This window comes from Homo sapiens, chromosome 22, assembly GCF_000001405.40.
Source record: "Homo sapiens chromosome 22, GRCh38.p14 Primary Assembly".
Taxonomy (NCBI): Eukaryota; Metazoa; Chordata; class Mammalia; order Primates; family Hominidae; genus Homo; species Homo sapiens.
In genome coordinates this window covers 16,975,098-16,996,200 of record NC_000022.11, presented here as the reverse complement: position 1 = coordinate 16,996,200, position 21,103 = coordinate 16,975,098, and the positions used below count along the sequence as shown (strand labels likewise).

Below are 21,103 nucleotides of genomic sequence, written 5' to 3'. Positions count from 1 at the left end.
TGTCTTCTGCTTGATCAATTCGGCTATTGATACTTGTTTATTTTTCACAAGGTTCTCGTACTGTCTCTTTCGGCTTCATGAAGTCATTTATGTTCTTCTCTAAACTGGTTATCCTAGTTAGCAGTTCCTGTAACCATTTATCAAGGTTCTTAGCTTCCTTGCATTGGGTTAGACCATGCTCCTTTAGCTCAGAGGAGTTTGTTTTTACCCATCTTCTGAAGCCTACTTCTGTCAGTTTGTCAAACTCATTCTCCATCCAATTTTGTTCTCTTGCTGGCAAGGAGTTGTGATCTTTTGGAGAAGAGGCATTCTGGATTTTGGAATTTTCAGCCTTTTTGCCCTGGTTTTTCCTCATCTTTGTGAATTTGTCTGTTTTTGGTCTTTGATGTTGGTGATCTTTGGATGGGGTTTTTGCGTGGGTGTCCTTTTTGTTGATGTTGGTGCTATTGCTTTCTGTTTGTTAGTTTTCCTTCTGACAGGCTCCTCTTCTGCAGGTCTGCTGGAGTTTGCTGGAAGTCCACTCCAGACACTGTTTGCCTGTGTATCACCAGTGGAGGCTGCAGAACAGCAAAGATTGCTGCCTGCTCCTTCCTCTGGAAGCGTCATCCCAGAGGGGCACCTGCCAGATGCCAGCTGGAGCTCTCCTGTATGAGTTGTCTGTCAACCCCTGCTGGGAGATGTCTCCTAGTCAGGAGGGACAGGGGTCAGGGACCCACTTGAGGAGGCAGTCTGTCCCTTAGCAGAGCTCAGGTGCTGTGCTGGGAGATACGCTGTGCTCTTCAAAGCCACAGGCAGAACGTTTAAGTGTAATGATATTGATACACAACATGGATGCAGAAGGATTTCCAGTAAATTACAGGCACTGGAAGAAAGTGTTGGGAGGATGAAGACTGGAGCCGAGCAATCCACAGCTTTCAAGGATCTGCTTACAGATTTGGGAAACCGTATTCCATTATCCGCCCAACTATCTTTGCAGAGTCATCCTCATCACTGTTCCCTCTCCTCTACCCTCAGCCCAAATTCTACACGTAAAGCAATATTGGTGAGAGAACAAGCAGAGCCCGTGAAACCAGGCTGCTGGGCTTGAAGTCTTGCTCTGCCACTTTATGACCAAGGCGTTTATAGGATGAATGCAAAGTTGGCTTAACGTTTAAAAACAGGCCAGTGCAATTCATCACATTAAGAGAATAAAGAAGAAAAATCACCTGCTCATCTGAATAGATGCAAAAAAGTATTTGACCAAATTTCAACAAACCATAGAAAATTAGTCGTATCTGTGAAAAACCTACAGCTAACAACATTCTTAATCATAAAATACTGAACGTTTTACCCTAAGATCATGAACAAAGCAAGGATGTCTGTGCGTATGACTTTTATGCAGTGTTGTACCAAAGGGTCTAGTCAGTGTAACAAGCATTAAAAAGAAATGGAAGTCATACAGATTGTAAAAGATGAAGTAAAGTTGTCTTTATTCTCAAAAGACATGATTGGATATACAGGAACTTCTAAGAAATCTACTTCAAAAAACCCTCCCAGAGCTAGGTGAATATAGCAAGATCACAGAATTTAGGGTGAACATATAAACTTAATATATGGAAATACGGCTGCATAATTTACACAAAATTGAAATAATGCAGTAGCATAAAAACCCTTACAATATATGAGAGTAAACACCAGCTAGAGTAGTAACAGTACACCTGCTATGCTCACACTACATGTATATACATAACACCTGCACCATGTACACACAGAATCGTGAAGGCAGCAGCCTCGGCAATACTTCAGGTGACTGTAAATAAGTAGCACTTATTTTTATGTTCCTCAGCTCTATCCTGTCTGGCTATGCCTCAGTCTTCAATCTTTTTCAATCCAAGGCTTATTGGGTACGGTTTATGCTGGGAGATTAAGTGAGGCCCAGGAGTTGATATAGCAGCAATGAAGTCTTTGGGACCTTCCATGAGTCATTTTAGTGGTGCAGAAGGGGAACAGCCTGATTAGAGTGATTTCACAAAACAGGAGAGGAGGAAATGAAGATTAGCAATGAGGAAACTCTTCAGAGTTTTAAGGTAAAGAGGGTAGAAAAACTGGGCCATAGTTGGAAGAGAATGCAGGCTGAAACCAAATTTCTAATTTTTTTTTTCTAAGATGGGAGAAATTTGTGTCTTGATGGGAATGATCCTAGTAGAGGTGGAGAACTGTTGAAGTGATGTCCGTTTGTGAGCGAGAGGGTGTTCACAAATGCAAGAAGGTTGGCCTTAGAATGGATGAACTCTCTGTGTTCCCCAGTGACAAGGTCCAGGGCTATAGGCACAGGCAGGCTGGTGGGTGTGGAGGCGGATCAGGTGCAGATTCTCTTTTCATTGCTTATATTTTCTCATGGAATAAGAAACAAAGAAATAAGGGTGTTGGAGGTTTAAAGGGAGAGAAGTTGAGAAATTGTTGCAAAACACTAGGAGAAAACCATGAACTAGGTAAATATGGTAGGACATTGGGCCACATGAGGGCCCCTTGAAGTTACAGTGAGACCAGGCAGCATGGTTGTGTATTTCTCTCCAGCTGTTCACAGCTGAATGGGAACAGGTGGAGTAGGCAAAGCATTAGGCTTAGCCAGGGGCTGTGGTTTTGCCAGATAAATAAGAGGAATGGAGAAAGAAGCAAAGGTATGATTATAATAGAGCCATGGAAAGGAAGTTTGATAAGGGGGAAAATAACAGGGGTAAAAGGTGAGTGGGAAAAGGTGGTAGGAGTCCTAGAGTGTAGGACTCTCTTGGGTTCTAAAGAGTTGTGATAATAACCCAATGCTTGGCATCTGTAGTCCTTCAGGGTTGTATAGCAAGTGGTTCGAGTTTGTTTGCATAATAAAACTATGAGGTACTTAGGGCAGGTGGTGGTGGTGGTGATTCCAATAGCCGAGACAAGCTCCAAAGAGGTAAATGGCTTACTGGAAAGTCACACCTGGAGTCAGTGGAGAAGCATAGACTCATCCACAGTTCTCTACCATGGGTAGTCTTTTATCCCTGTGTGTGGTGTCTGCTCATGGATCACTCAGTCTTGTTGAAGAGGTGGAAGGTAGAAGACAGCCTAAGACAAAATGTAATAATGCATTCAATTCTATGGGATGGAGCAGTATAAGGAGTTTATCTGATCAGTAATACTATTATAAGTACTAGGGATATAGCAGTGAACAAGATAGAAAAAAGGTCTCTCAGTGCTTTGGGAGGCGGAAGCAGGAGGATCATATGAGGCCAGGAGTTGAAGATGAGCCTAGGCAACATAGTGAGACCCCATCTCTGCAAAAAAATATATTAAAGAATTAGCTAGGTATGGTGGTGTATGCTCTAGTCCCAGCTACTTAGGAGGCTGAAGTGGGATGATTACCTAAGCTCAGGAATTAGAGGCTGCAGTGAGCTGTGACTGTGCCACCATTGCACTCCAGCCTGAGTGACAGAGTAAGACTGTGTCCCTTAAAAAAGAAGCATCCTGAAGTCCTGTGCTTCAGAGAAGTTTTAGAAGGGTTTCTCTGTGACTCTTCTAAAGCATCATGATATGGTAAAAAGCACATTTTACTAAAAGTTGGGAAACATGTTTTTCTGCTACTTGTTTACTGCTACTGCTTCTGCTTCTGACATTGTTGCTTCAACTCACCATGCTTAGTGGAGGTCCCCATCTATAAACTAAGGTGTTGTGGCTTTGAGAGTTCTACTCTGTCTAAAAGTGCTATGCATTGAGGTCAGTGTTCTAGGCTAATGAAATTGTTGCTATAAAGTGTCCTCACCCAACCTCCTGCTCTAAAGTGTGGAAATGCACATCTTATTTTGTAGTGATGAGACTCTGTTGACATAGTGAGATGCTGCAGTAAAATGCATTCAAAGTCACTCTCCACCTTTGAAACTGGGGAAATCCGAAAGGGAGACATAGGCTGAGTGCAGGTCCGAGTCCCATCCTTAACTTAGTGATGTCTCAGACCTGTTAAAAGCTTTGTAATAACAAATGCATGCTTCCCCTCTTCTTACTCCTTCCTTAGGCCTGGAGGAAACGCTGGTTTATCCTGCGGAGGGGCCAGACTAGCAGTGACCCAGATGTTCTGGAATACTACAAGAATGATGGCTCCAAGAAGCCCCTGCGCACCATCAACCTGAACCTCTGTGAGCAGCTGGATGTTGATGTGACTCTGAACTTCAACAAGAAGGAGATTCAGAAGGGCTATATGTTTGACATCAAGACCAGTGAGCGTACCTTTTACCTGGTGGCTGAGACCAGGGAGGACATGAATGAGTGGGTCCAGAGCATCTGTCAGATCTGTGGCTTCAGGCAGGAGGAAAGCACAGGTATGGGAGCACACACAGCCCTGTCTCAGGAGGGGCTGAGATGAGGCCCTCCAATCTCCAGCAAGGAGGGCAGCTCTAGCTGCCAACACTGCCAAGAAGTGTTGGGCTCGTGATGAAGCTAAAGGCATTTTTGGTGTTTCTTCAGACACCTCGATACCACTACCATCCTCAGTCCTCCACCTCTCCCCCTTCCCTGAGCTCTCTGCACTTTGCCCTGTCACCTCTCAGCCACCTGTAGGGAAGACCTCTCCTTCGCCTTCTACTGATCCATCTCTGGCTGTTCTGGCCCTACTTCAGACCACCTGGCACAGTTGCACTTGACCCTTGGTGGGTTTGTTTGGGGTTGCTTTTTGATTCTTACTGATTTATAATCACTTAGGAGGGGACAGGTGAGAGGAGCAAATACAGACTTATGCTTGGGTTTTAATAACCTTCACAAAAGAGTAGTTCAGCTTTTTAAAATGAGTTGTAAGTTGCAGAAATGCTCCTTCACATTTGTTCAGGCTCATCCTCTACTCACCAGTAAGGTTGAGGAGCAGCAGGCTTTTTTTTTTTTTTTCCTGAGGCAGATATATGGTCTAAATTGGCCATTCTTGAACCTGGTTGCACATCAGAATTAAGGAGGGACATTTGTAAAATGTTGATGCCAAGGACCTGTGCCAAGTGAGTTACCCAGGAATCTCTTGGGTGGTGGACCCAGGCATTAGTGTCTTTTGGAAGCTCCACTCTTTCCCACTTTTTTTGGGAGGATAAAATTGAAAAAGTAAAGCTTCATTTTGAGTAGCAAGGGTCCAGGGCTCAGCAGATACTTCCTGTAAATATTTTAGATTTTGAAGGCCACAGATAGTCTCTATTTTATATTCCTATTTTTTTTAATGTTACAATCCTTTGAAAATGTAAAAACCATTCTCAGCTCATCAGCATCAGCATCACCTGGGAACTTGTTAGACCTGCACATTCTCGTGAGAATGTCAGTAAGTAATTCATTCTTGTAAGTCAGTCTGCACCCCACTCCAGACTTACTGAATCAGAAACTCTGGGACAAAACACAGCAGTCTGGTTTTAAGAACTCTCCAGGCAATGTTTATTGCCAGAACTGCTTTGAAAGGATGTTTCTGGAGCTATAGCCCATTGGAGAGAGCTGACCAGTTTTATAGCCATGGCTTGGTGCTGATAGACCCCCAGGTCTGCATATAAATGGACTCTGGGTCATGGATAGGACTCTACTGCCCGAGTGCTAGACAGGGGCTGTGGAGGTGAGGGTGAGTCACTCTTTCATCCTCACAGCCCACACATACAACTGGGGGCATGAAGGATGCATGGGGTGACAGGACAGGGTTAGTGGGTTGTGGAAAAGTGGCCTTTCCTACCAGACTGAGGAGCCTGGACTTTATTGGGAGGGCAATGAGGAGCAGTGACTGTCACCAGGGGAGTAGTTCCTTACTATACTACATCCTTTGTTTGATCAACACATACTTACTGTGTTACACACTGGGCTTGATTCTGAGAACAAAACCATTTCAAAAAGAGATGAAATCTCTGCCCTCACTGAGTTTTGAGCTGAATGTATGGGGTGATGAGAAAGAGGTTGGTATTTTACTAGAATTCCATTTGAAACACGAGGAATTACTGGCAAGAAACTGGTTGAAGAAATAAACAGAAATATGGTTTTAGAAAGAGAGAGAGTGCTTTGTGAGTCATCTTAAGGATGCAGCGCACTGTGGAAGAGCTTTCTGTGAGCAATGCCATAAGGACAGGACATGGTTGGTGAGAAAGAGTGAAGAGTCACAGTGATGCCTGGGCTCTGGCTTAGAGAGTGCAGTGGACAGTCATGCTGATGTGCCTCACCGAGAGGGAACACAGGCATACGAGGGGCTCACTTGGAGCATCGGGGACACCTGCTTGTGGGGTGTCTGCCTTGCGGCAGGGAGCCCCAGAAAGGCCTGAGCTGCAGGTTCAGATTTTAGAGTTGCCATCACTTAGGTGGTCCTGGGGGCTGTGGGAGGACAGGATCACCCTGCGGTATCCGGAGTCAGGGTGAGGCTGAGGAGGGTCTAGAGCAGAACCCTGAAGAATAGCTCCATTGAAGGCAGAGGAAACAGATCCAACAAGATGGCAGGAGCAGAGGCTCAGCAGAGCTTCCCAGGCTGCACCCTCCCTGGGCAGCAGCTGTGTTCATCCTTGGTGCCGTGGCTGCTTGGCCCCCTAGCATAGACCCTTGCTCCTCCACTGGTAGAGCATTCATCTTGCAGGTCTTTTGGAGCTACAAGGCCATTGATTCTGTTAGCAGACATCCCACTCACCAGGAGACCTGCATGGGAGCTCATCTTGGAGTGCACATAGCTGTAAGTGGAGCCATCTTTCCCAGAGCCCTGCCATATGTTTCTGTTGCTCACTGGCAGAACGTGTCTTGCCTAGCATCAGAAACAGCTGGAGAGGAGCAGACACTCAGGGGCATTAGCCAGCTGGGGTTCCTGCCTCAGGCCATGAGGTGGCACAGCCAGAAATAGGCCAGATATCAGGGGGCAGAAAGAGAACTCTGCCCCCTCTGATATGACTTGAAGAACCCTTAGAAAGCCACCATCAACACCACCCAAACATAACCCCACTTAGCGATCACATCATTTGAAATTACACCTGTAGACCTTCATTTCTTTTGAACAAGAAGTTTTGCTGTTGGGGTTTTTGATTGCTGAAAGTATGTTTTTATTTATTCTGCAAACACAAACTAAAAACTATCTATGTACCTGGCTTCTGTTGGGTAAATGCTTGGGCTGTGGAGGTAACAACATCAGTAGCGGTTCTCAAAAACCCGTGGACTGGGCAAGGAAGTGCCTATGATGGGATCACGCATGTAACGGGAACATGGGCCAAGTGCTGTGACACCCAGAAGAAAGTCGGTCCCTGAAGTTTCAGAGAGAATATGATATTTGAGCAGGTCTTAAAGTCTGCATGTGAATTTGAGTAGAAGTGAAATCCAGGCAGAAGGAACAGCATAAGCCAAAGCAAAGAAGCCTGAAAGAGGCCGGTGTGTGCAGGATGGCTGATGCTGCCATATACCTTGGTCGTGGGTATAGGAAAGCAGGAAACAGGTCAGACTGTGAAAGGCCTCGTAGGTTCTGCTGAGTAGTGTGGACAGGTCCTGGAGAGCAAGCCAGATGAACAGTGTGCTGGGCTTGGGGTGCAGCAAAGTACTACCTGTCCATGATACCTCTCTTCCTTGCCAACACCACAGGAGAGTCTGAGATGCCATGGAAGGACAGGCAGGAAAGCTGGGTTTCCAAGAATGCGGCTTCAGTTGGCAAGCCTCGCTTCACCCAGACAGCCTTAGCTTTGAGGGAGGCCATGACAGAGGAGCCACCATGGAGGAGGGAGGTGGCAGCACTCACCACTGCAGAGGCTGTCTTGCCTGGGGGCCCGGACCACACTCCTGGACTGTGGGGAACCACGCCGTCTGGGAGTGGAGCAGTCAGGGCCCAGGGCACTATGAGGCCTCCAGGCTGCTCCAGGGTAGGAAAGAGGCAGAGCGTCTGCTCCTCAGCCAGGATAGCCAGGAGGCCCCAGCCCTCCTCTGGGAGGACAGAGGAGGCAGGCATGTGAGAGGAAGAGTGCTGGTGCTGGATTACCGCCACTGTCTTCATGTGTTTCTGCCTCTAGCAGCCCACTTTAGGACAAGGATGCCCTTCCTTCCTGTTTCATTCACAGGCTTCCTGGGAAACATTTCCTCAGCCAGTCACGGCCTCTGCTCTTCTCCAGCTGAGCCCAGCTGCTCCCATCAGCACCTCCCCCAAGAACAAGAACCCACATCTGAGCCCCCGGTGTCTCACTGTGTGCCGCCCACCTGGCCCATCCCTGCACCTCCGGGGTGTCTCCGCTCGCACCAGCACGCCAGCCAGAGAGCAGAACATGCAAGGTAGGGGGCTACTATGGCCAGTGGGGGCAGTGACCCCCACAAGGTCTTGTTCTATTCAGTCCCTGATTTTTTTAAATTTCAAAGAGAAAGACATAAAATATTATATCTTTCCAGGTAAGCAAACATATATAACAACATTTAATTTTTTGTTTATGTAGCCTTCACATTTTATTTGTTTTATTTGTGTTGCTACAAAGTGATAATTGGATTCCTAAGAAACCTACCATTATAAAAAAACCATGCCATGAAAATTTTGTTTGATTGTGGGGAAAAAAGCATTAGAGGCTAGAGTTTCAGAACTGCAAATAACAAAGTCGGTTTATGTGTTGGCCTTAAGAGGACAGCTATGAAACCTTAAGATTGATGACCAGATCCATAGCTCAGTTGAATTCTAAGCTGTGCTGCTCCACAGTAGCTGCAGTCATGGCTATTTAAATTTAAGCTAATTAAAATTAAATTAAATTTCGAGTTCAGTTTCTCAGTTATAGTAGCCACAAGTCAAATGCTCAGTAGCCACCAAAGTGACTAGCAAAGATAGGTAGCATGTCCATCACCACAGATGGTTTCACAAGGGACTTCTTGCTCTGGAACCATGACCTCTGCTTCTCTGACACCACTGGCTCTCACACAGGGGCAGGGCCTGCACCAGTTTTATCACCTGTTATTCCCAGTGTAAGGTCACGCAAATGTGCAGAGGGGATGGGCTTGGCCAGAGCTGGTGCTCAGTTGCTACTGTGGCACACAGATCACAGTCACATTCCTTGGTTTGTTAGTTTAGAAATACCTAAATCATGCTGTGAAAATGAAGGCAGACAGATAAATGGCTGTGTTAATAGATGACTTCATGACATCTGTGAGAATATTTTCATACATAATCTCACTTGAACCAGTCAAACATATGAGAGATAGCTAGGAAGATCATTTATCTCCATTTTATAGGTGAAGCACCTGAGGCTCACAGCTATCAAATGGTAGAGGCGGGACTAGAACCCAGGTGTCCTCACATCTGTCCTGAACTCTTTGCCCCACACTTTGCTGCACCCCTGGTTTACTAATCCTTTTTCTGTAACATGGCAGGGGCTCCAGCACTCAATCTGAAGGCTAGTTCCATCACCCATTTTCCTGAAGCAATGCGATTCCTTCGTTTGTGAACTTTCAGCAGTTCCGCCTTCATCAACTGATACATGAAGATCTGTGTTCTAGAAAGACAGAACAAATTAACCAAGATCACTAAACTAGTTAGTGGCAGAACCACACCAGTACCTGCCTCTCCTGAGTCCCAGACCAGGGATAGGCAGTACAGTGCAATGGAAAGCATGGCACAGGCTTGGCATCGGCCAGATATGGTTTCAAATTGAGGTTCTGCCACTTTTCTGGGAATCTTAGGCCACTTATTTAACCTCTTTGACCTTCAACTTCCTTATCTTCAGAATGGAAACGACTAACTCAAAGGCTGATGGGTGTAAGGTGGCAGAACACACATGAAGTGCACAGTGGCAGATGCTCAGTCCCTGTTACCTGTGGTTCTCCCTGTGCCCCTTTCCCTCTATTGCATGTATGAATGCCTGGACAGAGAGAACTGAGGTCTTCCAGTCGTTGTTCTTGTAAAAGACACAGTGCTTCGTGTTGGTGCCCTTCATACTTTCACATGCACGTGGAACACCTGGGGAGCTTGCTGAGATGCTTGTTTTCATCAGCGAACCTAGGGTGGGTCCTACAGTCCTGCCTTGCTGACACAGACTGAGGATACCAGTGCAGCTCATCTGCAGGACACACTTTATGTAGAAGGCTTGGTATACTAACAGCCACCACCACCTGTACTCCCATGACACAGCTGAAGCAAAAGGAGACAGACAGGTAAATGTCTGCCTGCATGAGCAGTGAGGGTCCACTTTCTGTATTCCTTCCTCCTCTGTGAAATTCCTGTTAGTCTTACCAGCAGGAGTTGGTTTCTTTGAATCACCACAGCAGTTTTTTATGTTCTCTCTCCCAGCATTTGGGGCTGTCTGCCTCATGTTAATGGATTTCTGTGTTAAGATGTTCTGGATGTTATGGAGGTCGTGTTATGGATTTCTGTGTTAAGATGCTCTGAGGACACAAGGCAGGGCATATAGTATGTCTTTATCAGTACATGATCAGCGTTTGATGGTCGTGTGCTGTAGTGAGATGGCACATTTGAGGAGAAAGAACTGTCTAAAGCTTAGGAACAGCACTGCCATGGGCCCTTGGCCAAGCTGTGCTGTCCTCTTTGTTTTCGCTTGTGTGGATGAGGGAGTGAGAGGACAATTAGCAATATCTCAGTGTAGTTTCTACAGAAAAGTTAGACACTGTTTGCCAAATTCCAAGGGGAGATGGAGAATAGGAAGGAAGCTTTCTTAAGTCCTGAAAGATGATATTGTTTCTGATGGTAGTGGCATAGCTTGCATCATACTAAACCTACTGAACAGTTAGAAACTGAGACATTAGAAAACAATTGTTTGAAGGCACTGAAGAACAATCAAAACTCTGGAACAGATTTGACTCTTGAAAGAACTGAGATTCAATTTCCGTGGCTTTTCCTAGAACAGATCCCAGATATTCAGTATCCAATGAAAAATTACTAGCCGTATGAGTAAATGGTAAAAGTTGACCCACAGTTTAGAGAACTCAGTACATAGAAACAGACCAGAATAGACCCAGATTTTGGAGCTAGCCTACAAAGACTTTAAAATAAGTATGTTAACTTTTTAAATCTGTGGGCAAAAAATGTATGTAATGGGTGAAGAGATGATGGATTTCGGGAGAGATACAGGGACCCTGGTAAAGGACTTAGGAGTTCCAGCTCCACTGTGGTGGCAGACCCACTGCAGGATATCATTCCCAGATCACAGCTTAAAACTCTGGACACATACAAAGTACAATTACCCAAAGACCCTGGGAGGTAAATGAAAGGAGGCAGGGTGTGGACTGGAGAAAAACTTGGAGCAGCAAATACACAGAGGTCAATTTTCTGTCTTCCATGGATTTGCCTCCAGGGTGCACCCACACAAAGCAGCACAGTGGGGCCAGTGGTTAAAACTTTCCTGGAAACTCCATCTTTCTAGGTAGAGGAACCAGGAAAGAGCCCAATGGAGCTGGAAAGGATTCTAGAGCAGAGTGAGCTGGAGAAGGGATCTGCTAATTCTGAGCACGAAACCACCCAAGTCTTATGCTCACCTTGAGCTACATGTGTGTAGAAAGTCCCAAACCAGTGTAACAGAGCTATATGAACTGAGCACAGCTTGGAACTGCCACACATAGGAGAGATGGAACTTGCAGTCTCAACCTAACCAGCTTGATTTCCTGCAGAAACCAAAACATCAACATTCTCCCAAGGATTATGGCAACCCACAGTCTACACAAAACACAACATGCACAACATTCAGGATGTAATTCACATTTTCTCAGCTTACGGAGAACCAGCAGAATTTAACCAGTTTTAATTGGAAGACACAGATGTGAACCTCAAGATAATACAGATGTTGGCTATATACCCAGCAGTGAGATTGCTGGATCATATGGTAGTTCTAGTTTTAGTTTTTTGAGGAACCTCCATATTGTTTTCCATAGTGGCTGTGCTAATTTACATTCCTACAAAGAGTATATAGAGCATTCCCATTTCTCCATGCCCTTATCAGCATTTGTTATTATCTTTTTGATAATAGCCATTTTAACTGGGGGAGATGATATCTCATGTGGTTTTGATTTGCATTTTCGTAATGACTAGTGATGTTGATAATTTTTTCATTTACCTGTTGGCCATTTGGATGTCTTCTTTGGAGAAATGTCTATCCAGATCTTTTGTCCATTTTGTAATCTGATTATTTGATTTTTTTGTCCATTGAGTTGTTAGAGTTCCTTATATATTCTATTAATTTCTTATTGGATGAATAGTTTGAAAATACTTTCTCCTATTGCGTAGATTGTTTCTTTACCTTATTAATTTTTTCCTTTGCTATACAGCAAAGCTTTTTAGCTTGATATAATCCCATTTGTCAGTTTTTGCTTTGATTACCTGTGCATTTGAGGTGCTATTCAAGAACGTATGGCTAGACCAATGTTTTGAAGTGTTTTCTCAATGTTTTCTTCTACATGTTTCATGGTTTCAGGTCTTATATTTACATGTTCAATCAATTTTGAGTTGATTTTTGTATAGGGTGAGAGATAGGGCTCTAGTTTCATTCATACATTCATATGGATATTTATTTTTCCCAGCACCATTTATTGAAGAGACTGTTCTTTCCCCAGTGTATACTCTTGGCATCTTTGTTGAAAATGAGTTGACTGTAAATGCATGAATTTATTTCTGAGATCTGTATTCTGTTCCATTGGCCTGTGTGTCCATTTTTAAGTCAGTGCCATGCTGTTTTGGTTATAGCTTTGTAGTATATTTTGAAGTCAGGTAATATGAGTCCTCCAGTTTTGTTCTTTTTTGCTCAGGGTTGCTTTGGCTGTTCTGATCCTAGTGTGGTTTCATATAAATTTTAGAGTTTTTATTTCTATTTCTGTAGAAAATACAGAATGGTATTTTGATAGGCATTGACTCTGCAGATTTCTTTAGGTAGTGTTGGGGTGATCAGATGCAACACCAGACCATGAGGGCTATGAAGTCTGGTGGAGTGAAAGGAATGAGAAAAGACAAGTTAAGAGTGAAAGTGGGACCAGGGGGCCAATGCTAGTACGGAGGCTGTGAAGGCTCTGAGCTCTGGGAGCCCATGCTATTTATTGGTGATCAAAGAAACAGGTGGTGAGGATGTGGGGTTGAAAGGTAGTGATGCATCAAGCGCATGATCTACACCTGTGACGGTTTAGCATTTTCTTTGAAGCATATGGAACATGTTCTGCTACTTGAGATAATGGAAACATGTTCTTCTAGTTTAAGATACAATCAACCTGTGATCCTGGGAATGCTAGAAGCAAGGAGCCAGCAAGTCTAGACACATTCCAGAGGCCACTAGGGGTTTTATGCCCTGAGCCCTGGATTCCATCCACGCCACGAGGGGTTTTATGCCCTGGGCTTAGATTATGGTGCGGCAGGGCAGCCTTCCACCCTTTGGCACAGAATTTGGTGTTCCAAAGGCCAAGAGGGGTTTTAGACCCTGGACCCTGGACATGTTCCGAGACTCTTTTACATTATGTCAGACATGCAAGCCCTGCCTCAGCTTTTTTCCCAACACTCAGCTTTTCCCCAACAGAAGTCAGGTAATATGATTCCTCCAGTTTTGTTCTTTTTGCTCAGGGTTGCTTTGGCTGTTCTGATTCTTGTGTGGTTTCATATAAATTTTAGAATTTTTGTTTCTATTTCTGTAGAGAATACTGAATGTATTTTGATAGGCATTGATTCTGCAGATTAGGTGGTGTGGACATTTTAACAATATTAATTTTTGCAATCATGATCATGTGATATTGTTCCATTTTCATGTCCTTTTTAATTTCTTTAATAAATATTTTATAGTTTCATTGTTGAGATCTTTTACTTCTTCAAGATTATTTTGTAAGTATTTTTTGTAGCTACTGTAAATGGGATTGCTTTCTTAATTTCTTTTTTAGACTGTTTGTTGTTGACATATAGAAATACTACTGATTTTTACATATTGATTTTGTATCCTGCATCTTTTCTGAATTTATTTATCTGTTCCAACAGCCTTTTGGCATTTTTAAGTTTTCCTAAATATAAGATTATATTGTCTGCAAACAAGGACAATTTTACTTCTTCCTTTTCAATTTGGATGCCCTTTCTTTCTCCCTTCTCATTGCTCTGGCTAGGACTTCTAGTGGGCATTCTTGTCTTGTTCCAGATTTTAGAGGAAAGGCTTTTCATTTTTCCCTGTTCAGTATGATGCTAGCTGTGGGTTTTGCATGTAAAGCCTTTATTGTTTTGAGGCATGTTCCTTCGATACCCAGTTTGTTGAGAGTTTTTATTGTCAAGGGATGTAGCATTTTATCAAATAACTTTTTGTCATATTTTGAAATGATCATATGGTTTTTGTTTTTGAATCTATTAATGTGGTGTATCATGTTCATTTCTTTGCATATGTTGAACCCTCCTTGCATCCCTGAAATGAATCTCACTTGATCAAGATTAATTATCTTTATAATATATTGTTATAAACATCAGGGATGTTTTCTTTTTTTGTTGTATCTTTGTCTGTTTTTGGTATCAGGATAGTGCTTCATAGGATGAGTTTAGAAGTATTCCATCCTCCTCAACATTTTGGAATAGTTTGAGAAGAATTGATGTTAGTTCTTCATATGTTTGGTAGAAATCAGCGGGGAAGCCATCGGGTCTTGGGTTTTTCTTTGATGGGAGTTTATTACTGTGTCTATCTTGTGACTTCTTGGTCTGTTCAGGTTTTCTATTTCTTCATGATTCAACCTTGCTAGGTTGTATTTGTGTAGGAATTAATCTGTATCTTCCAGGTTTTCCAATTTTTGGCATATTGTTGCTCATAATAGTCTCTGATGGTCCTTTGAATTTTTGTCTTATCAGATGTAATGTCTCCTTTTTTGGCTCTGATTTTATTTAAGGCTTGACTCATTTTTTGTTAATCTAGCTAAAGGATTATCAATTTTGTTTATCTTTTCAAAAAAGCAAAGTTTTTGTTTCATTGATATTTTATTTTTTTCACTCTAAATTTTATTTATTGCTGCTATGAACTGTAATATTTATTTCCTTCTAATTTGGGGTTTGGTTTTTTCTTACTTTTGAACTTTTTTAAGGGGCATCATTTAGTTTTTTTCTACTCCTTACTATATTTTATATTTATATTTATTTATTTATTTTTATTATACTTTAAATTCTGGGATACATGTGCAGAACGTGCAGGTTTGTTACATAGGTATACACGCACCATAGTGGTTTGCTGCACCCATCAACCCATCATCTACATTAAGTATTTCTCCTAATGCTATCCCTCCCCTATCTCCCCACCCCTTGACAGGCCCCGATGTGTGATGTTTCCCTCCCTGTGTCCATGTGGTCTCATTGTTCACCTCCTACTTATGAGTGAGAACATGTGGTGTTTGGTTTTCGGTTCTAGGGTAAGTTTGCTGACAATGATGGTTTCCAGCTTCATTCATGTCCCTGCAAAGGACGTGAACTCATTCTTTTTTATGGCTGCATAGTATTCCACGGTGCATATGTGCCACATTTTCTTTATCCAGTCTATCATTGAGGGGCATCCAGGTTGGTTCCAAGTCTTTGCTATTGTGAATAGTGCTGCAATAAACATACGGGTGTACTTGTCTTTATAGTAGAATGATTTATAATCCTTTGGGTATATACCCAGTAATGGGATTGCTGGGTCAAATGGTATTTCTGGTTCTAGATCCTCGAGGAATCGCCACACTGTCTTTCACAATGGTTGAACTAATTTACACTCCCACCAACAGTGTAAAAGTGTTCCTATTTCTCCACATCCTCTCTAGCATCTGTTGTTTCCTGACTTTTTAATGATCACTATTCTAACTGGCATGAGATGGTATCTCATTGTGGTTTTGATTTGCATTTCTGTAATGACCAGTGATGATGAGCTTTTTTTCATGTTTGTGGGCTGCATAAATGTCTTCTTTTGAGAAGTGTCTATTATCCTTTGGCCCCTTTTTGATGGGATTGTTTGGATTTTTCTTGTAAATTTGTTTTAAGTTCCTTGTAGATTCTGGATATTAGCCCTTTGTCAGATGGATAGATTGCAGAAATATTCTCCCATTCTGTTGTTTGCCTGTTCACTCTGATGATAGTTTCTTTTGCTGTGCAGAAGCTGTTTAGCTTAATTAGATCCTATTTGTCTATTTTGGCTTTTGTTGCCATTGCTTTTGGTGTTTTATTCATGAAGTCTTTGCCCATGCCTGTGTGCTTAATGGTATTGCCTAGGTTTTTTTCCACGGTTTTTGTGGTTTTAGGTCTTACGTTTAAGTCTGTAATCCATCTTGAGTTAATTTTTGTATAAGGTGTAAGGAAGCGGTCCAGTTTCAGTTCCCTGCATATGGCTACCCAGTTTTCCCAACACCATTTATTAAATAGGGAATCCTTTCCCCATTGCTTGTTTTTGTCAGCCTTGTCAAAAGTCAGATGGTTGTAGATGTGTGGTGATTTCTGAGGTCTCTGTTCTGTTCCATTGGTCAGTATATCTGTTTTGGTACCAGTCCCATGTTTTGGTGCCTGTAGCCTCATAGTATAGTTTTAAGTCAGGTAGCATGATGCCTCCATGTTTGTTCTTTTTGCTTAGGACTGTCTTGGCGATATGGGCTCTTCTTTGGTTCCTTATGAAATTTAAAGTAGATTTTTCTAATTCTGTGAAGTCAATGGTAGCTTGATGGGAATAGCATTGAATTTGTAAATTTCTTTGGGCAGTATGGCCATTTTCACGATATTGATTCTTCCTATCCATGAGCATGGAATGTTTTTCCATTTGTTTGTGTCCTCTCTTATTTCCTTGAGCAGTGGTGTGTAGTTCTCCTTGAAGAGGTCCTTCTCATCCCTTGTAAGTTCTATTCCTAGGCATTTTATTCTCTTTGAAGCAATTGTGATTGGGAGTTCACTCAGGATTTGGCTATTACTGGTTTATAGGAATACTTGTGATTTTTGCACGTGGATTTTTTATTCTGAGACTTCACTGAAGTTGTTTATCAGCTTAAGGAGATTTGGGGCTGAGACAGTGGGGTTTTCTAAGTATACAATCATGTCATCTGCAAACAGAGACAACTTGACTTCCTCTTTTCCAAATTGAATACCCTTTATTTCTTTCTCTTGACTGATTGCCCTGGCCAGAACTTCCAATACTATGTTGAATAGGAGTGGTGAGAGGGCATCCTTGTCTTGTGCCAGTTTTCAAAGGGAATGCTTCCAGCTTTTGCCCATTCAGTATGATATTGGCTGTCAGTTTGTCATAAATAGCTCTTATTATTTTGAGATACATCCCATCAATACCTAGTTTATTGAGATTTTTTAGCACGAAGGGGTGTTGAATTTTATTGAAGGCCTTTTCTGCATCTATTGAGATAATCATGTGGTTTTTGTCATTGGTTCTGTTTATATGATGGATTACATTTATTGATTTTCGTATGTTGAACCAGCCTTGCATCCCAGGAAAGAAGCCAGTTTGATCATGGTGGATAAGCTTTTTAATGTGCTGCTAGATTCAATTTGCCAGTATTTTATTGAGGATTTTCGCATTGATGTTCATCAGGGATATTGGCCTGAAATTTTCTTTCTTTGTGTGTCTTTGCCAGGTTTTGGTGTCAGGATGATGCTGGCCTCACAAAATGAGTTAGGGAGGAGTCCATCTTTTTCTATTTTTTGGAATAGTTTCAGAAGGAATGATATCAGCTCCTCTTTGTGCCTCTGCTAGAATTCGGCTGTGAATCCATCTGGTCCTGGGCTCTTTTTGGTTGGTAGGCGATTAATTACTGCCTCAATTTCAGAACTTGTTATTGTCCTATTCAGGGATTCGACTTCCTTCTGGTTTAGTCTTGGGAGGGTGTATGTGTCCAGGTATTTGCCCATTTCTTCTAGATTTTCTAGTTTATTTGCATAGAGGTGTTTATAGTATCCTCTGATGCTAGTTGGTATTTCTGTGGGGTCGGTGGTGATATCCACTTTATCGTTTTTTATTGTGTCTATTTGATTCTTCTCTCTTTTCTTCTTTATTAGTCTGGCTAGTGGTCTATCTAATTTGTTAATCTTTTCCAAAAGACAGCTCGTGGATTCATCGATTTTTTGAAGGTTTTTTTGTGTCTCTATATCCTTCAGCTCTGCTCTGATCTTGGTTATTTTTTGTCTTCTGCTAGCTTTTGAATTTGTTTGCTCTTGCTTCGCTAGTTCTTTTAATTGTGATATTAGGGTGTTGATTTTAGATCTTCCCTGCTTTCTCTTATGGGCCTTTAGTGCTGTAAATTTCCCTCTGAACATTGCTTTAGCTGTGTCCCAGAGATTGTGGTACATTGTGTCTTTGTTCTCATTGGTTTCAAATAACTTATTTATTTCTGCCTTATTTTCGTTATTTACCCAGTAAATAAATTCAGGAACAGGTTGTTCAGTTTCCATGTAGTTGTGCATTTTTGAGTGAGTTTCTTAATCCTGAGTTCGAATTTGATTGCACTGTGGTCTGAGAGACTGTTTGTTATGATTTCCCTTCATTTGCATTTGCTGAGGAGTGTTTTACTTCCAATTATGTGGTCAATTTTAGAATAAGTGAGTGCTATGTGGTGCTCAGAAGAATGTATATTCTGTTGATTTGGGATGGAGAGTTCTGTAGATGTCTGTTAGGTCTGCTTGTTCCAGAACTGAGTTCCAGTCCTGAATATCCTTGTTAATTTTCTGTCTCATTGATCAGTCTAATATTGACAGTGGGGTATTAAAGTCTCCCATTATTATTGTGTGGGAGTCTAAGTCTCTTTGTAGTCCAGAAGAACTTGCTTTATGAATCTGGGTGTGCCTGTATTAGGCACATATATATTTAGGATAGTTAACTCTTCTTGTTGAATTAATCCCTTTACCATTATGTAAAGCCCTCTTTGTCTCTTTTGATCTTTCTTGGTTTAAAGTGTGTTTTATCAGAGACTAGGATTGCAACCCCTGCTTTTTTTTTTTTTGCTTTCCATTTGCTTGGTAAATCTTCCTTCATCCTATTATTTTGAGCCTATCTGTGTCTTTGCACGTGAGATGGGTCTCCTGAATACAGCACACCGATGGGTCTTGACTCTTTATCCAATTTGCCAGTATGTGTCTTTTAATTGCGGCATTTAGCCCATTTACATTTAAGGTTAATATTGTTATGTGTGAATTTGATCCTGTCATTATGATGCTAGCTGGTTATTTTGACTGCTAGTTGATGCAGTTTCTTCCTAGCATTGATGGTCTCTACATTTTGGTATGGTTTTGCAGTGGCTGGTACTGGTTTTTCCTTCCCATGTTTAGTGCTTCCTTCAGGAGATCTTGTAAGGCAGGCATGGTGGTGACAAAAATCTCTCAGCATTTGCTTGTCTGTAAAGAAATTTATTTCTCCTTCACTTACGAAGCTTTGTTTGGCTGGATATGAAATTCTGGGTTGAAAATTCTTTTCTTTAAGAATGTTGAATATTGGCCCCTTCTCTCTTCTGAGTTGTAGGGTTTCTGCAGAGAGATCTGCTCTTAGTCTGATGGGCTGCCCTTTGTGGATAACCCAACCTTTCTCTCTGGCTGCTCTTAGCATTTTTTCCTTCATTTCACCCTTGCTGAATCTGACAATTATGTGTCTTGGGGTTTGCTCTTCTCAAGGAGTATCTTGGTGGTGTTCTCTGTATTTCCTGAATTTGAATGTTGGCTTCTCTTGCTAGGTTGGGGAGGTTCTCCTGCATGATATCCTGAAGAGTGTTTTCCAACTTGGTTCCATTTTCCCTGTCATTTTCACATACACCAATCAAACGTAGCTTGGTCTTTTCACATAGTCCCATATTTCCTTGAGGCTTTGCTCATTTCTTTTAATTCTTTTTTCTCTAATCTCGTCTTCATGCTTTATTTCATTAAGTTGATCTTCAATCTCTGATATCCTTTCTTCTGCCTGATGGACTTGTCTGTTGATACTTGTGTATTCTTCATGAAGTTCTCATGCTGTGTTTTTCAGCTCCATTAGGTCATTTATGTTCTTCTCTGAACTGGTTATTCTAGTTAGCAGTTCCTGTAACCTTTTATCAAGGTCTTTAGCTTCCTTGCATTAGGTTAGAACATGCTCCTTTAGCTCAGAGGAGTTATTACCCATCTGCTGAAGCCTACTTCTGTCAGTTGGTCAAACTCATTCTCTGTGCAGTTTTGTTCCCTTTCTGGTGAGGAGTTGTGATCCTCTGGAGGAGAAGAGGTGTTCTGGCTTTTCAGCCTTTTTGCACTGTTTTTTCCTCATCTTCGTCAATTTGTCTACCTTTGATCTTTGATGTTGGTGATCTTCGGATAGGGTTTTTGTGTGGATGTTTTTTTTTGTTGTTGTTGATGCTATTCCTTTCTGTTTGTTAGTTTTCCTCCTAACAGTCAGACCCCTCTGCTGCAGCTCTACTGGAGTTTGCTGGAGGTCCACTCCAGACTCTGTATCACCGGCAGATATCACCAGTGGAGTATCACCAGTGGAGACTACAGAACAGCAAAGATGGATGCCTGTTCCTTGCTCTGGAAGCTTCATCCCAGAGCAGCACCTGCCAGATGCCAGCTGGAGCTCTCCTGTATGAGGTGTCTGTCGATGCCTGCTGGGAGGTTTCTCCAGTCAGGAGGGACAGGGGTCAGGGACCTGCTTGAGGAGGCAGTCTGTCCCTTAGCAGGGCTCGGGCGTTGTGCTGGGAGATATGCTGCTTTCTTCAGAGCCACAGGCAGAACGTTTTGTAAGTCTGCTGAAACTGCGCCCACAGCTGCCCCTTCCCCCAGGTGCTCTGTCCCAGGCAGATGGGGTTTTATCTATAAACCCCTGACTCGGACTGTAGCCTTTTTTTCAGAGATGTCCTGCCCAGAGAGGAAGAATCTAGAGAGGCAGTCTGGCCTCAGTGGCTTTGCTGAGCTGTGGTGGGCTTTGCCCAGTTAGAACTTCCTGGAGGGTTTGTTTACACTATGAGGGGAAAACCGCCTATTCATGCCTCAGTAATGGCGGATGCCCTACCCCCACCAAGCTTCAGTGTCCCTGGTTGACTTCAGACTGTTGTGCTGGCAGCGAGAATTTCAAGCCAGTGGATCTTAGCTTGCTGGTCTCCATGGGGGTGGGATCCCCTGAGCTAAAAACCACTTGGCTCCCTAGCTTCAGCCCCATTTTCAGGGGAATGAACAGTTCTGTCACTCTGGCATTCCAGGCGCCACTAGGGTATGGAAAAAAACTCCTACAGCTAGCTC

At 42.6% G+C, this 21,103-nt stretch overlaps 1 protein-coding gene across 10 annotated transcripts in view; it reads left to right on the top strand.

The window, feature by feature from the left end:
• The window catches only part of GAB4 (GRB2 associated binding protein family member 4), a 46,287-nt gene that overhangs the window by 12,022 nt on the left and 13,162 nt on the right, over positions 1–21,103 (top strand). For 5 of the 10 annotated variants that reach the window (XR_951190.3, XR_951191.3, NM_001037814.1 and 2 more), the window contains exons 2-3: positions 4,025–4,328; positions 8,034–8,241. Coding sequence is in view for 6 of the 10 variants with exons in the window: in NM_001037814.1 (NP_001032903.1) it covers positions 4,025–4,328; positions 8,034–8,241 (512 nt within the window). In the remaining 4 variants the exon portion in view is untranslated. Of the gene's footprint in view, positions 1–4,024; positions 4,329–8,033; positions 8,242–21,103 lie in introns of those variants that run through there. The other 5 variants (NM_001366857.1, XM_011546114.3, NR_159481.1 and 2 more) reach the window with 4 other exon arrangements.